The sequence below is a fragment of the Homo sapiens genome, chromosome 12 (genome assembly GCF_000001405.40).
Source record: "Homo sapiens chromosome 12, GRCh38.p14 Primary Assembly".
Classification (NCBI taxonomy): domain Eukaryota; kingdom Metazoa; phylum Chordata; class Mammalia; order Primates; family Hominidae; genus Homo; species Homo sapiens.
The window spans coordinates 94,198,614-94,215,136 of NC_000012.12; the positions used below are offsets into that span (position 1 = coordinate 94,198,614).

At 42.0% G+C, this 16,523-nt stretch overlaps 1 protein-coding gene across 5 annotated transcripts in view, besides 3 other annotated features; it reads left to right on the forward strand.

The window, feature by feature from the left end:
- PLXNC1 (plexin C1) overlaps positions 1-16,523 on the forward strand; it is a 159,099-nt gene that overhangs the window by 50,037 nt on the left and 92,539 nt on the right. For all 5 annotated transcript variants that reach the window (NM_005761.3, XM_006719186.5, XM_047428050.1 and 2 more), the window contains exon 5: positions 10,977-11,091. In NM_005761.3, coding sequence (NP_005752.1) covers positions 10,977-11,091 — 115 coding nt within the window. The remainder of the gene's footprint in view (positions 1-10,976; positions 11,092-16,523) is intronic.
- Positions 6,116-6,165: an enhancer, noted in NCBI's record as "active region_6779". NCBI's record gives its function as "activates an Ori minimal core promoter by ATAC-STARR-seq in GM12878 lymphoblastoid cells {active_cell/tissue: GM12878}" and the evidence as "EXISTENCE:reporter gene assay evidence [ECO:0000049][PMID:35858748]".
- Positions 9,116-9,185: an enhancer, noted in NCBI's record as "active region_6780". NCBI's record gives its function as "activates an Ori minimal core promoter by ATAC-STARR-seq in GM12878 lymphoblastoid cells {active_cell/tissue: GM12878}" and the evidence as "EXISTENCE:reporter gene assay evidence [ECO:0000049][PMID:35858748]".
- Positions 9,836-10,095: an enhancer, noted in NCBI's record as "active region_6781". NCBI's record gives its function as "activates an Ori minimal core promoter by ATAC-STARR-seq in GM12878 lymphoblastoid cells {active_cell/tissue: GM12878}" and the evidence as "EXISTENCE:reporter gene assay evidence [ECO:0000049][PMID:35858748]".

Sequence of the window (16,523 nt, forward strand, 5' to 3'; positions counted from 1 at the left end):
GTTCTGGAGGCCAGAAGTCTGAAATCAAGGTGTCAGCAGAGCCGGGCTCCCTCTGGAGGCTATAGGGGCAAATCCTTCCTCACCTCTCCCAGCTCCGGGTGACTCCTGGTGTTTCTTGGCTTGGGGTAGGATAACCATCTCTGCCTTGGTCTTCACATGACCTTCTTCTGTGTGTCCAAATCTCCCTCTCCTTTCTCCTAGAAAATTCCCATTCACTGGGACACCCTAAATCCAGGATGATTTCATCTCGACGTCCTTAACTCTTTACATCTACAAAGACCCTATTTCTACATAAGGTCACGTTCTGAGGTTCTGATGGGCACGAATTTGGGGGAACACTCTTTAACGCACAACATGAGGGAAGATGGACAGTGTGAAAATAAATGAGGAAAGAGAGAACATGTCACAGAGTAAACAGGGCTGTGAAGGAAAATAAAGCAGAAAAAGGAAATGGGGAGCGCTAGTTGGAGGCAGGGGGCGCTAAATTTAAACGGGAGCCCTGGAAGGCCTCAGTGAGAAGGGGCATCTGAGCCAAGACCCAAAGGGACCCACTCAGTTTTGGGGCTATCCGCCTTCATGGGCTATTGCACTATTGAGTGGAATGGCCGACAATTTGAGACAGAAGAGCCTTCCTCCTTTCCTTCCAATCCGGGATGTGTCCTTGTGCAGATCTCAAGCTTGACGTCTGTGCGGTGACACTTCTTTATGGTCCAGTGAGGCTCTAATGACAGCAATAATGATAATGGAATTGGGGATGGCCCCTCCTTCTCGTGTGAGGACCCCATTGTGCCGACTAATTGTGTAGAAGCAAGTAGGACAACTGTCTGTGGGGTGGAAGCGGTGGGGAGCAAAGAGGAATATGTCCTTTGGGCCTCAGGGAATTACTGAATTACCGTTGTGTGGGCTGAGTCCATGCATCTGGGTTACTGTGAATGCTGGAAGGGATTTGGGGGGCTTTCCAACACCAGAAGGGGTCTGGGGGTCAACCTGTGTCCTGTGGGTTCTCTACCTCCTTTTTCAGCTGTGAGAGGAGCTATGAGTTCTATGTATTTCAAAGCAGAAGGCAAAGGGGATAGCAGTGCTAAGGGGCACCTCTCCACCCTTGGTGTCCCAGACAGTTGGCACTGGGAAAGTGCTCGCCATGCTCAGAAGCCAGGCTTTTTTGTTTGTTTGTTTGTTTGGTTGGTTGGTTTTTTTAGATGGAGTCTCATTCTGTTGTCAGGCTGGAGTGCAATGGCACAATCTCGGCTCACTGCAACCTCCACCTCCCAGGTCCAAATGATTCTTCTGCCTCAGCCTCCTGAGAAGCTGGGACTGACTACAGGCGCGTGCCACCATGCTCGCCTAATTTTTGTATTTTTAGTAGAGATGGGGTTTCACCATGTTGGCCAGTATGGTCTCTATCTCTTGACCTCGTGATCCCCCTACCTTGGCCTCCCAAACTGCTGGGATTACAGGCGTGAGCCACCATGCCCAGCCAGGTTTGTTTTTTGTTTAGTGGAGCTAGTAACTGACGTTCTCGGACCTCAGCCTCCGTGCTACTTACCTGCACCATCTCTAATGGATGCTCTCTGACTTCCAACAAGCACCATTAAGAACATCCCTTTTAGTAAATATATGTTGTAATGGAATAGATTTTTTTGAAATGACCTTATCTCAGGCAGCATGCACTTTCATAAGAATGTATTGATTGGCCTTTAAATATTCCTCAAATGTTTTCACTTGTCTCTGTGACCTAATATTTGTCCTGTTCCCAGCATCTCCTCCATATCCAAACACAATGTTCAGGTCTTCATTCGAAGCCTTCCTGCCAGTCTTTTGTTTTTTGCTTTTTAAACATTTTGATGCTTTTATTCTGCTATATGGAGGGTGCACTGTTTCTGATAGGCCAAATGTGGGATTTGATATTGCTTTCAGGAGGATCGGGTTTTAATATCATTGCCACCTGTTTAGTGGTGGAGAAACTGAGGCCCACAGAGGCTAAGGAATGTGGCCCCCAGTTACACAGGGAGTATATGGGAGAGCAGCTTTGAACCCAGACCCTTCTGACTCAAGAGGTGTCATTTTCCCATTTTTATTTCCATGCTGCTGTTTTTTTAAATGGCTCCCCTAAATTATTTAGTTCATGGTTTGCATTTGGAAATAAACACCAACTTTTAGTACACTCATTGCCCACAAAAGAACCACATGGAGCAAAGGCCACAAACCCATTTTGTGTGAGTGTTTCAGTCTGCAAATGTGTTTTTTATGTGCTAAATAGCTCAAAGTTTCAAGACAAAGGCTGTTTTTCCACCACGCCAGTGAACAGGCCAACCTAGTGAACAAAAATCAATGAAATGACTTCTGCTGGTATCACTGAAACACAGACAAGAATTTAGCCATTTTAAAATTTCCTTGTTAATCCAATTCAGCTACCTTTTGTTGAATCCCAGCCATGGGCCAAGTCCTGTACTAGGCCCTGGGGGAAACAAAGATGAATGAGGGTCTACTCTGATGAAGTTCACAGGTGAGTGTGGGAATAATTTCAATACACTGTGTAAAATGCTCTAATAGCTGGTACTCAAGGTATGAAAGGACTCCAAAGAACCCTTTAATATTTAGGAGGAAACAGAGCTGTGATTAAGAATCCCCCAAGAAGCCTCGAATTGTGTCTGCCTCCTTACATAGAAAAGGCATGTTGGGCATTGAGCTGGTGTGTGAGCAATGCCAAAGGGCATCTGGTCAACCTCATTGCCCAAATCCCTTTCTCATCACTACCATTTTGTCTTTGGCTTATGTCATCCATTTTTTTGCCTAAATTTTCTGTTCCATTTTCCCATATAATATAATAATAATAATGAATATTTATTGAGGCATAATTGTAAACTCTTAGAACAGATGTACATTTTTCTCCCAACTTCATCAGGTGAAAACTATTATTTGCATTTCTGCAGATGGAGAGCCTGAAACACAGAGAGGGCACATGTCTTGCTTGAGGTCACCAGCTTGCAAATGGCACAACCACTATCCTCCTTCCTTCACTAAGTTCTAGCCAAGCTGGTCTATTTCATCAGTTCCTTGCAGAGACCATGCTTTAAGTGCACTCAGATACTTTGCACATGCTGTTCCTTCTGCCTGGACTGCTCTTCCCACTACTTTTTTTTTTTTTTTTTTTTTTTTTTTTTTTTTTTTTTGAGACAGAGTCTTGCTCTGTCACCCAGGCTGGAGTGCAGTGGCATGATCTCGACTCACTGCAGGCTCTGCCTCCAGTTCAAGCAATTCTCGTGCCTCAGCTTCCCGAGTAGCTGGGATTACAGGAATGCACCACCTCGCCCAGCTAATTTTTTGTATTTTTATTAGAGACAGGGTTTCACCAGGTTGGCCAGGATGGTCTTGAGCTCCTGGCCTCAAGTGATCTGGCCTCCCAAAGTGCTGGGATTACAGGCATAAGCCACTAGCACTGGCCTCTTCCTACTACTCTTGACCCGACTACATGGTTCTCACCCTTGAATGCTTAGCTGAAATGCCATCTTTCTTCACTAGCCTGTCTAAAGTGGGTTCCTTTCTACTATATCTTTGGTTTCTGCAGAAGACGTACCTCAATTTGAAATTATTTTAAATGATTGTCTGTTTATTTGGTTTTTGTCTATGTGCTTCTCTGGACTGTAAGCTCAATAAGAGAAGGAACTTAACTGGCTTATCCATGGAAGTGTCTGCAGTTCCTAGTGGAGTGTTTGGCATCTGATGGGCTCTCAGTTAATATTTGTAGAATGAATGCCAGGTATGGTCTTAGGCCCTGAGGGTGCAAAGGTGAATAAGGTGGGCCTTTCCCTTTGGGGGATTTACAGTGTAGCTGGAGAGACAGGCAGGCAATCAGCAACTAATGCAGTATGCTGTGTAGAGTAGGAGCATGTGTAAATGTCATGGAGACACAGAGGAGGGAGTGACTGCTTTGCCTGGAGTCTGAGCAAACATCATAGAGGAAGACACTGAAATAGCCCTTGAACAAGGAATGTGATTTCACCAAGTGTTGCAGGCCCAGGCACGTTCAGGGCAGTGAGGATGGCACACGCTCGGGAGGGCCTGGCCTGTTTGCCCTGTATGTGTTTATCAAATGCCTGCTCTCCACGAGGCACTATGGAATAGATACCAGGGATGGGTGTTTTTAGGAGCTTGCAGTCTAGAGAGATAGACTCATCAACCAAACTTACCTGGGGATGAGTTTGAAGAGGAAGGCAGGGGCCAGATCACAGTGTTGGGGTCAGAGATGGGCATGGAAACATGTATTGCAGACTGAGGTGCTGAAAGGCATGTAGACAGGAGAGTCTGGTATGGGAGAAAGGGTGTCATGAGAGATTTTTAAGCAGGGAGTAACATCATCAGCTCTGTGCGTAAGAGTAACCCAGATGTTGATGTGGAGGTTGATGAGAGGAACAGGAAGTGGGAAGCGGGAGACCTCATTTGGCTGCTGCAGGAACCCAGGTGAGAGGTGGGGGGTAAGCATGGGTTGTAGAGGATGCTTAGAATTCGTTTGGGTACAAGAGTTACCCAAACTAGCCAAAGTAGGCACAAAGTTTTGTAATTTGATCCGCCGTGAGGATTATTGCTCATTAAACCAGACCAGGTAGTGGTTCCCAACATGTGTGACTAGAATTTCTCATCCCTCAGAACATCCTTCAACAAAAAAGCTGGAAGATGGTACATCATTCATTCTTGTCTCAGAAAGTTACAAAGCACAGTGGCATCTACAAGGCTCTGAGAAGTCCTGCAGCAGAGAGACTTGTTTAATTTTATTTAACTAGTGTTTCCCAAGCTTCTTGGCAATAGAACCCTACTTTAATATTAACACCAAAACAAATCCAGGAACACAGTTTGAAAAATGCTGAGAAATTGAGTAAAACTTGTATTTTCCTATATGTTCATGTCTTGGAAGAATCTACTTGCTATTATGCTGGCATTTGTGATGTCGCTGCCCTGGAAGCCTTCAAAATTTTTGAGCAATTAGGTGTAGTAGTAAGAGATAGATGCCAGTGCCAGACACCATGCTAACTAACCTCTCTGCACCTCCGTTTCTCAACCTCTGACATGGAGGTGGTAACAATAACACCTACTTCATGGGCTGGTTGTGAGGATTACTGTGTTAATTCCCAGAAGTCCCCAGAAACAGTGCCTGGCCTATGGGCACTAGGAAGGTGCGATGGTTTGAAAATGTCACCTAAAAAGCGTGTGTTGGGAATTTAATCCCCAATGCAACTCTGTTGAAAGGTGGGACCTAGTGAGAGGTGTTTAGGTCATGAGGGCTCTGCCTTTGTGAATGGATTAATGCCAATCATAGAAGGGCTTCAGGCTGCAAATTCAGTCTCTTTCTCTTGTTCACATGCGCATGCCCTCGCTCTCTCTTGCTCTTCCACCTCCTGCCATGGGATGATTCAGCAATAAGGCCCTCGCCAGATGCAGGCCCCTCGACCTTGGACTCTCCAGCCTCCAGAACTGTAAAAAATAAATTTCTTGTCTTTATAAATTACCCAGTCTGTGGTATTCTATTATAGCAACACAAAACAGACTAAGACAGATGGGCTCAGTCACTATTAGCTATTCTGAGAGGCAATATAGGTAGCTGATGAGACCACAGGCTTTGAGGCTACACTGCCTGACTTAGTAGGTCAGCTCCTCTGCTTACTATCCCTGTGACCTTAGGAAAGCAATATGGAACCAGCTATGCCTCAGTTTCCCACATCTGTGAAGCAGGGACAATTATTGCAGCTACTTAGAGGTTTGTTGTGAATAATAAATGAATCAAATCATGTGAAAAGACATCGCCTGGCATGTTAGATGTTTTTGCTTAAAAAAAATCTTTTAATTGTCTCTGTTATTAGCATAATTTTATCATGTAGACTGACTTTCAGCTTCAGTGATGAAGATCCAATTTTTGAGCTTTCCCAGCAAGTTATTTTGGTCTTATGTTTTGGCATTCCCCTCTTAAAGAGTCTGGAGGCCTTTCATTTGAAGTTTAGTTTGTCACAGACTTCCTATTCTCGTCCATTCAGTAGACTTTGGTTTCCTCATCTCATGGACTGGCAATTGTAAAGAAAGTCCCCCGATTCTGGAGACCACCTCGCCCCTCCACTGGGCTCTGTGCCTTCCCTAAAAATGCAGACATCTGTTTCAAATCACTTAGCAAAAGACCTTGGGTTGCTCTTATAGCAAAGCCCTCCCCCAGCATGGATGCAGTCTCTTGTTTCCTGGGAGAGAGAGAAGCTGGATTGTTTCCTTGTTAAAAGTTTTCTGATATTATATCAGTGTAGAATCTTTGGAACAGTTCACACTAACCCCCACATTCAAGCCACTTACCTGATATGTAGTTATCAGATTCCTTCAGGGACTGTCTGCTCTTGGTGAACAATTAGATTAGAGGATGCTGATGAAATTTGAGTGGCAGGAAGTAGAAGTTACATTTCTGAGTTCAGAGTTTCTATTTCAAGGTTGAGTAAGTGGTAAATTTTTACTGCAAGATTCTAGCCTAACAGAGTTGGCTTCTCAAGGTCCCCCAGCCCGGCCCATGGGTATTTCACCTGCTTGGAAACTTCAGCTCCTTTTCAGAGGTGGGCCTCCCTGTTCTTTATGTTGGCATGAAAACAATTAATAATTTAAGCCATGCCCATTAAAAAAATAGAAATGCTGTATAAATACAATACTGTAATAATAAATTTAAAAGTCGATCCAGCTGGGCGCTGTTCCCACACTACCAGCTGAGCAGAAACACAAATAAGTAAAGAAGAAAACTGCTATATAATGCAAATGGCTGCAATCTCATTGTTTTCTGCTATTGTTTATTGCAAATATATAGTAGTAAAGTTACATTATGGATAAGTAGGTTTTGTGGGCTAACCTGGAAACCTAATCACTGTTTATAACATTATTTCTATGGGGGAAAAATGCATTTTATATTAGAAACAGATGGTTTGCAAGAAAACCTTTTTGGGAGTAGAATGGATTTCTAAGTCCAGGGCCGCCTGAAATTTTAACCTCTTGCTAGTTGTGTGGTTGTGTTGTATTCACAGCTAGTGATAGAGGAAAATTAGAGGCCTCTCAGAATGCCCACTTCTGTGTTCTCCCCCAAATCCTTGCTAACCGCTTCATCCTACAGTCTCTGCCTTACCTTCTGTCTTCTCTGTTTCTGGGGTCCCCATCCCTGTGTCCTCATCCTGGCCCAGCTCCACCCTGCAACCACTGGTTGAGGTCCCAGGAAGCCAGGAGGAACTATGAATGTCCTCTATTAAGTGGTGGTTAGGATCTATAGGAAGGCATGAAGCCAGGGGGCCAAGTTTGTGGGCTCTGAAATCAGACTTCTGCCACTTGGCAGCTATGTGGCCTTGATATGTTACTGTACTTCTCTGAGCTTCTGTTTCATCCGTAAAGAGTGAGGTTGTTGTGAGAACTAACTGCAAACACTCCCATCAGTGCCTGGCACACAGTAATGTTTCCTCCATGCCAGTCTGTGGTGGGGTAATTATTCAGGGATATTATGGGTTACACATATTTCTATGAACCCAGGAAGCAAACCCACTGTATATAAAGACTTTCTAAGTTTTCAAACAGTGAACTTAGAAACAAGTGTCTGGGACCTTCCTGTTTATGACTTGGGGCCGGAGTAGGTTTGGAACTTTTTTTTTTTTTAAATCTGTTGGGGGTGAGGGAGGGGGCGGTTACATACTTATATAGTTGAATGCCAATATCAAACTCTAGTATTATCTCGAATACATTAAGCTCTACAGCAGATTTTATAGCAAACTAACAAGAACAGCTTTCTTAAATAGTTTCATTGACTGAATTGTTTCTACATACAGTGTTTTTCACATAAGGGAAGTCTTTTTAAATTAACTTTTTGGTTTGGGGGATTTTTTTTTTTTTCCTTCAGGCAATCTTTTCTTTGCATTTGGGCAGGTTCTGTATTCTAATTTGCAAATAGGCTTGTGTCTGCCTGCAGGCTTTATCATGAAAGTATTAGCTCTAAGTGGAAATAAGGACTAGAAAAATAAAATACTGACTGGGAGTCTGAGGACTTTGGGATAGATCCTCAGTAGAGGATGGAGCAAAAGTAATAGTAAGTCAAGAAAGCAAATATATCTCTACCAGTTTCCCTAGAATATGTCCATTCTTATCCAAATCCAATTTTCCTCCTATTCTTGGCCTGAAGAAATTGAAATGAAGCCATTAAGATATCAGCCTATCTGAGAGTGCATCACTGAAGAATCAGCCTCACTAAGAGTCCTGTGTGACAATGAGATTTTAATTTAATTAGGGCAGTGGCTCAAGTGTTTATGCACTTGACCGTTGCTCTTGTTGATACGCAGGAATTAGAGTGATAGCTTTCAAAAGGAATTATTTCAGAGTAACTAGCTTTGTTTACTAAAATATGGGAGCTATAAGATCTGCTCTGTAAGAAATGTAAATGTATGAGTAATATGCTGTCATGAAGATTTTATAATCTGCAGTATTTGAGAAGTAATAAGATACTGTTGTTGGCTGGCCATCTGGTTATACATACTTGGTGTCATGGTTTGCTTTTTATTTTTTCATTTTTTATTTGTACTGGTGAGAGGCAAAGAATAGGAGTTCAGAGGTGGTGGGTTGTTTTTTTATATATATATAAAAACAAGGAATTTATGTTTAGTTGCTTAACATGGTTAGATTTTGTTTTTGCCTTATGCAGAATAAAAAATGAAAGGTTCATTTTATACTTTCTTTTCCCTTTTTTTTTCAAAAAGTAAAATGGAAACCTCACCCCCAATTTGTCCCCAGATTTAAACTTTTTGCTTGTTTTAAAAATAGTCTCTTTGGCATGAGGAGGAGTCAGACATGAATTAAAACTCTAGAAAGAAAAATCAGCAACAGAAAAGACCTATAGAGATTTCATATTTCATCCTTTCATTCAAAAATATTTATTGAAACCCTAGTATTTGCATATCATGCTGCCAGACACTGAGGGATTTGCTAAAGAAATATTAAAGACCTTCTCCCTTCTTTGAGGAGCTTAGAGCTTACTTGGGGAGAACTGAGATAGACTTATGAAATAGTTAAGTTGTAATTCGAGGCAGCATATGATTAAATACCGAAATATGTACTTCTGACAAGAAATGCTATAGGAGTTCAGAAAAGGGAGTGATAACTCAGTGGCACTACTGTTTTCTGCCTACAAATTGGCAAATTGTAGCACTATTTGTATGAAATATTTTACACTTGTTTTTTTGGCAGCCTTAGGCTTTGACTCCCAGGCAGCATTAAGAGCCAACAAAAATATTTGTACTCCAGTCTCTTCGGAATTGGCTTATTTTTTTTTTTCTTATAGGCAGAGGAAGTGCCTTACACAAACCGGAGTGCCCATGAGAGGCAGGGAGTTTTTGACAGTCATGATCTATTTCAGATACAACCGAAAGAACCAGCTTCGTCATTCTGTTTTTCAATCCAGCAGTGCTTGTCTCTCCGTTGCAAACTCTCTCTGACATTGACAGGCGGTTTAATTTGAACTTAATGTCTTTGACGGATGAGCTAGCCATCAAGGGTCAGATAAATTTATGGCTTTGGAGAATTGCCGATGAAAATCCCCATGGTTATAATGTTGGAGAAGAAACTGACACAGATGTAGTGGGAGGTGGAACACAGATGTGCTTATTGGGAGCAGGGTTCCCCAAATGTCAGAAGCCGGTGACATGCTAAAGGTATTGTGCTTGGGGATGACGTTTAGTGAAACTCACTGACTTCCTGTTCTATTTTTGCCATATTCAAATTAACACAGAGCTCAAAGATGAAGCCATGAGGCCTAAATTCTTAAGAATTGAAAGAGAGAGAGAGTAGAGAAAGGAGAAAAAATAAAACCTTTAGGAAGCCAAATACACTGTTTGGGCCCATCCATTCCTCATTCCGCTCGGATCCCCTCCGGGACTCCCCGTAGCTGAATGTGGTCATCATTTGGTTGCTTTTCAATCTCATGATTCATGTGTTTTCAGTTTCTTTTAAAAATTCACCATCACTGGTTTACCACCCCTGCATTTTAATCTTCAGCCTTGAGGAGGTGTAGTACTAGAAATATTTCGTTCTTTCCTTGATGCTATTCAATGGAATATCTGTGGAGTCCAACACCCTTTGGCGATAACGTGCTGTTGGTATTTGTTCTTCTTGCCAGGTTGGTGCCCCGTCTGGTGAGGCAAGGGTTCCCAAGTTAGTGTGACCTAGAGTGACTGACACATCAAGCAAGCCAGTGATCTCACCACTCAGCTTCTGAGCATCTCTTTATCAAAGTAGTTGGCCCTGGCCACAGCTTAAGACTTATCTGGGTCAGCCTCTGAGCTGGCTGACTTGGGAAAATGGCCCTGGAAAAATGTTTCACCTATATCTTTTGATATAATTTGGTATCTGTCTAAATAAATGGTATGTAGCAGATGGTTATGGAATGTCTTATCAAATTCTTAGGCAGACTCTGCCCTTGAAATTTTTCTATTTAATTATCATACTGCAAAGCACAAAATAGTAACTTTGTTATTATTTTTAAACAAAATCAAGTTACACAATAGGTTGATATTCTGAGAATGAATAGCAAACCTAAAATTTATACAATATGTGAACTCTTCCTTGAGCTGTTCTTTGCTAGGCATTTCTAAAAGGGAGCTCCCTATTTCAGAATCCATGGGAGGATGTGTTTCAGATATATTTGGCGATGTCATCTTGAGAGATGGCTCAGGAGTCGAAGTTCACCATGTTGTCTACATTTGTTCTTTGCTCCTAGACATGATGGAAAAAAATGCTCTGCTGTTTTCTTGTTGCTTTTCATGGTTTTAGCATCATGTTCCTATTCTCGCTCAAATCAATAATCCACTGTACAAGGTCTGGCATTTTGTACTGAAGCCAAGTATAAGAAAGTTTTAACTAATGCACGTATGGGGTCGCTGTTTTAACTAACACACGTATGGGGTCGCTGTTTTGTTGCCTCGTTTTTTTAGGTGCACTTTTCAAGGAGATTGTGTACATTCAGAGAACTTAGAAAACTGGCTGGATATTTCGTCTGGAGCAAAAAAGTGCCCTAAAATTCAGATAATTCGAAGCAGTAAAGAAAAGGTAAGAGGAAAGATTTTAATTTGTCCTCGTTGTATTGTCTCATTTTGCACAGCGGATGCTAAATTTCTTCTGTGTGTAAAATATCCATTAGCAATCAAACATGCTTAGTGATAGCACTCCATTCATTTAGCACTCATTAACGAATATTGAGTGCCCACCAGATGCCATCCACTCTGCAAGGTGCTGGGGATACAGCGGTAACCAAGTCACATCATGGGCCTGCTCTCATGGAGTTTGTCGTCTTGTGGAGCTGAAGATGACCCTCAATGGTTGAACTGGAAGAAAAGTTGGACTTCTAATGTTGTAGAAATACATATTGCTTTTGAAAATAAAGAAAAAAGAGGTTCAGATTCATGGTCAACGAGATACCTTAAAGGTGGCTTAATTGCAGAATTTTGTTTAGTGTAATGGTCCCTTATCCTAATGTGTTGAGGCTTCCCCAGTAACCATCTTATGAACATAGCTTCCAACAGTCTTGGTAGCGATGGAGAGAAGACCAACATGGGCAGTGACCATTGCAAGTGAGGTCCTTTGGAAAGCCAGTGGACCCTTGCTATGGCAGCACCACTCTTGACAACACATCAGTCCTGTCATTGGATGAGAGAAGGGAGCAAGGAGCATATTTAAGCATTTTCAAATGCACACGCCAACCGTGCCCTACGGAAAAAGGGAATTCCTGCCTTGCAGTCTCAGTGGTGCTATAAGGAGGCATTTTCTCCCTAATGACGGCTCTTGTGTTATGAATAATTGTACAGAGTCCTCTGTTATGAATAACTGTACAGCAGCCAGCTGACCTGTCTGTTGAGCTCACTGTGTTCTGTTTGAATGCCATATTAACAAGGAAATGGGCCACTTTCTCTTTTCCCTTACACTTTGCCATTTCAGAGAAATAGCAAGAACTTTACCACTTACGATGATTTAACATTTAATAAAGGAGAGCCAAAGTATTTAATGAGTGATAAATAATAAAATAATCAAGCTTCTAAGTTGTAACTGATCAGAACGAACAGATTTAAAGTTATTTGGCTGTTGTCACTTTCTGTTGTCTTCCTGGAGAAAAAAAATAATAATAATAACTTTCATACAAACTTCTACCAGTCCTGAATCAGAGTGAATAGATTTGGTGGAAAAGATTCTTAGGCATCTAAACATAGGTATATCCAAATTCTAATTTCTCTCATCAGTCTGAAAAATAGCCAAATTTGGCGCTAATAGAGAATAGTAGAAAGTAGAATACCATAATCCTTGAATATACCCAGGACTCTGATAAGTGGTTAAAATTCTGGAAGATTTTTTTTCTTATGTTATTTATAAAAATTTAAGGATAATACTTCAGCTAAATGTAGTGGGAGGAAGTAGCTTGTTCATTAAATTAAAAGTGCTGCTTATACAACTTCCGTACCTAGCTAGGGGCTCACTATTACAAATTAATCACTGTTTATATCTGGTCTGGTACATTTCAAAACTGCTTACCACCCAAACGACCACTGGTGTTTTCTTCCTCGCCCTAAGTCCCACTGTGGTTTACCCTAATCTTCCCAGAGACTTCCCACACAGCCACTGCCTCACTCTCTCCAGCTCACCACCACTCTCAAAGAAGATAAGAAGTTCGTAATTTGACTAAAGCTATCCTTTGAAACCAACTTCGGACTAATTATTTTAATAGTGTTGATAAGCCATCTGATTCTATCTCTTGATCACATTATTTCAAAATATTTCCTACCCTATTGCCACCTTTGGCTTACCTGAAAATCTCAGGTCTTTGTTTAAATAAACCTGACCCTGACCTATGGAGACGGCAGTCTAGGGTTGTGTTCAGTTCCACCTATTAGCTCTATTCAAAGGCTATTTGCTACCTGCCTATCATATGCCTAGTAACATTCTAGTCACTTTGTAGGCAGAGAAAAACCTCCATATAATAAGAACCTCTGTTCACAGAAGCTTTATTTCTTTCCACAAAACAATTAAAAGATAGTACATCCTCATACTCACTATGGGATCAGCATTAAAAAGAAATAATCAGAGCAATTCCAGTTGTCCTGGAGGGATTTCTGTGAGGTTTTGTTGAGTAAAAACAGCAAGATGCATAAAAGTGTTCCTAGCATGATCTTATATTGATCAAAAAATGCCCCTGTATATGTTTATGTATATATGTCTCTATATGATTATTTGAGCATGGGCAAAAATATAGAAGAATTCAAACAAGGTTGTAAACATGGGCTCCCCTGGTGGAATGACTGATGTGGTGGAGAAGGAAAGCAGAGATATGTAATAAAAATAGAAAAGACGGCCGGGCGCGGTGGCTCACGCCTGTAATCCCAGCACGTTGGGAGGCCGAGGCGGGCGGATCACGAGGTCAGGAGATCGAGACCACCCCGGCTAAAACGGTGAAACCCCGTCTCTACTAAAAATACAAAAAATTAGCCGGGCGTGGTGGCGGGCGCCTGTAGTCCCAGCTACTTGGGAGGCTGAGGCAGGAGAATGGCGTGAACCCGGGAGGCGGAGCTTGCAGTGAGCCGAGATCCCGCCACTGCTCTCCAGCCTGGGCGACAGAGCGAGACTCCGTCTCAAAAAAAAAAAAAAAAAAAAAAAAATAGAAAAGACACAGAAATAAAATTATTATTGTTATTATTTATTATACTTTAAGTTCTAGGGTACATGTGCACAACGTGCAGTTTTGTTACATAGGTATACATGTGCCATGTTGGTTTGCTGCACCCATCAGCTCGTCATTTACATTAGGTATTTCTCCTAATGTTATCCCTCCCCCAGCCCCCCACCCCCCGGCAGGCCCCGGTGTGTGATGTTCCCCGCCCTGTGACCAAGTGATCTCATTGTTCAGTTCCCACCTGTGAGTGAGAACATGTGGTGTTTGGTTTTCTGTCTTTGTGATAGTTTGCTGAGAATGATGGTTTCCAGTTTCATCCATGTCCCTGCAAAGGACATGAACTCATCTTTTTTATGGCTGCATAGTATTCCATGGTGTATAGGTGCCACATTTTCTTTTCTTTTCTTTTCTTTTTTTTTTTTTTTGAGATGGAGTCTCGCTCTGTCGCCCAGGCTGGAGTGCAGTGGCACGATCTTGGCTCACTGCAAGCTCCGCCTCCCAGGTTCATGCCATTCTCCTGCCTCAGCCTCCCAAGTAGCTGGGACTACAGGCGCCCACCACTACACCCGGCTAATTTTTTGTATTTTTAGTAGAGATGGGGTTTCACCGTGTTGGCCAAGATGGTCTCAATCTCCTGACCTCGTGATCTGCCCGCCTTGGCCTCCCAAAGTGCTGGGATTACAGGCGTGAGCCACCGTGCCCGGCCTACGTGCCACATTTCCTTAATCCAGTCTATCATGGATGGACATTTGGGTTGGTTCCAAGTCTTTGCTATGGTGAATAGTGCTGCAATATACTTACATGTGCATGTGTCTTTATAGTAGCATGATTTATAATCCTTTGGGTATATATCCAGTAATGGGATTTGCTGGGTCAAATGATATTTCTAGTTCTAGATCCTTGAGGGATTGCCACACTGTCTTCCACAATGGTTGAACTAGTTTACACTCCCACCAACAGTGTAAAAGTGTTCCTGTTTCTCCACATCCTCTTCAGCATCTGTTTTTTCCTGACTTTTTAATGATCGCCATTCTAACTGGTGTGAGATGGTATCTCATTGTGGTTTTGATTTGCATTTCTTTAATGACCAGTGATGATGAGCATTTTTGCTTATGTCTGTTGGCTGCATAAATGTCTTCTTTTGAGAAGTGCCTGTTCATATCCTTTGCCTACTTTTTGATGGGGTCGTTTGCTTTTTCTTGTAAATGTGTTTGAGTTCTTTGTAGATTCTGGATATTAGCCCTTTGTCAGCTGGGTAGATTGCAAAAATTTTCTCCCGTTCTGTAGGTTGCCTGTTCACTCTGATGGTAGTTTCTTTTGCCGTGCAGAAGCTCTTTAGTTTAATTAGATCCCATTTGTCTGTTTTGGCTTTTGTTGCCATTGCTTTTGGTGTTTTAGACATGAAGTCTTTGCCCATGCCTATGTCCTGAATGGTATTGCCTAGGTTTTCTTCTAGGGTTTTTATGGTTTTAGGTCTAACATTTAAGTCTTTAATCCATCTTGAATTAATTTTTTGTATCAGGTGTAAGGAAGGGATCCAGTTTCCGCTTTCTACATTTTTTTTTTTTTTTTGAGATGGAGTCTTGCTCTGTCACCCAGGCTGGAGTGCAGTGGCACGTTCTAGGCTCACTGCAACCTCCACCTCCCAGGTTCAAGCGATTCTCCTGCCTCAGCCTCCCAAATAGCTAGGATTACAGGCACATGCCACCACGCCCGGCTAATTGGAATAAAAGTATTCCTTAAACAATATGGTTCCTAGAGGAGAGACACTAGAAACTTTTTTTTTTTTTTTGACAGGGTCTCCCTCTGTCATCTAGGCTGGAGTGCAGAGACGTGATCATAATTTACTGCAGCCTCGAACCCCTGGGCTCAAAGGATCCTCCCACCTCAGCCTCCCAAGTAGCTGGGACTACAGGTGTGAACCACCACACCCAGCTAATTTTTAAAAATTTTTTATAGAGATAAGGTCTCCCTATGTTGCCCAGGCTGGTCTCAAACCCCTGGGCTCAAGTGATCCTCCCACCTCAGCCTCTCAAAGTGCTGGCATTATAGGCATAAGTGACCATGCCCATCCTAGAAACATTCTTTTACAAATCAGAACTAAAACAAGGAATTCCACCATCGCTAATACTGTTGACATTATTTGTAAAGCCCTGTCCACTGCAGTAATTCAAGAAACAAGTAATACAAATTATTATTTGAATTAAATATAAAAAACATTACTTACTCATCTTAAGTGGCTGCATATCTGCAGAATCTAAATATGTTAGCTTTAAAAATTATTCAAATGAATTAACGTTAAATGAAGTGCTGAATGTTCAATAAATATTTAAATATCAATAACCTTACTACATGTTAAATAAAACAAACTTTTAACTTCATGAATAAAAAGTCCTATTCATAAAAACAACAGAACTACTCAGCCATAAACTTAAAGAGCAAGGTACATATCCTGCATTAAAACCATTTTTACTAAGAGATATGTGTTGGAGTCAGCTACCAAAAATAGTAATTTTGCTTTGAACAACTTAGCTTAAGCCGTTCTTTGTAATAGTAGTTAGATAGCAGAGCAGTGGTGTATTAAGGCTATTTTTTTTTTTTGAGACAAAGTTTCACTCTTGTTGCCCAGGCTGGAGTGCTGTGGCGCGATCATGGTTCACTGCAACCTCTGCCTCCCGGGTTCAAGCGATTCTCCTGCCTCAGCCTCCCGAGTAGCTGGGATTACAGGTGCCCACCACCAAGCCTGGCTAATTTTTTATATTTTAAGTAGAGACGGAGTTTCACCATGTTGGCCAGGCTGGTCTTGAACTCCTGAACTCAGGTG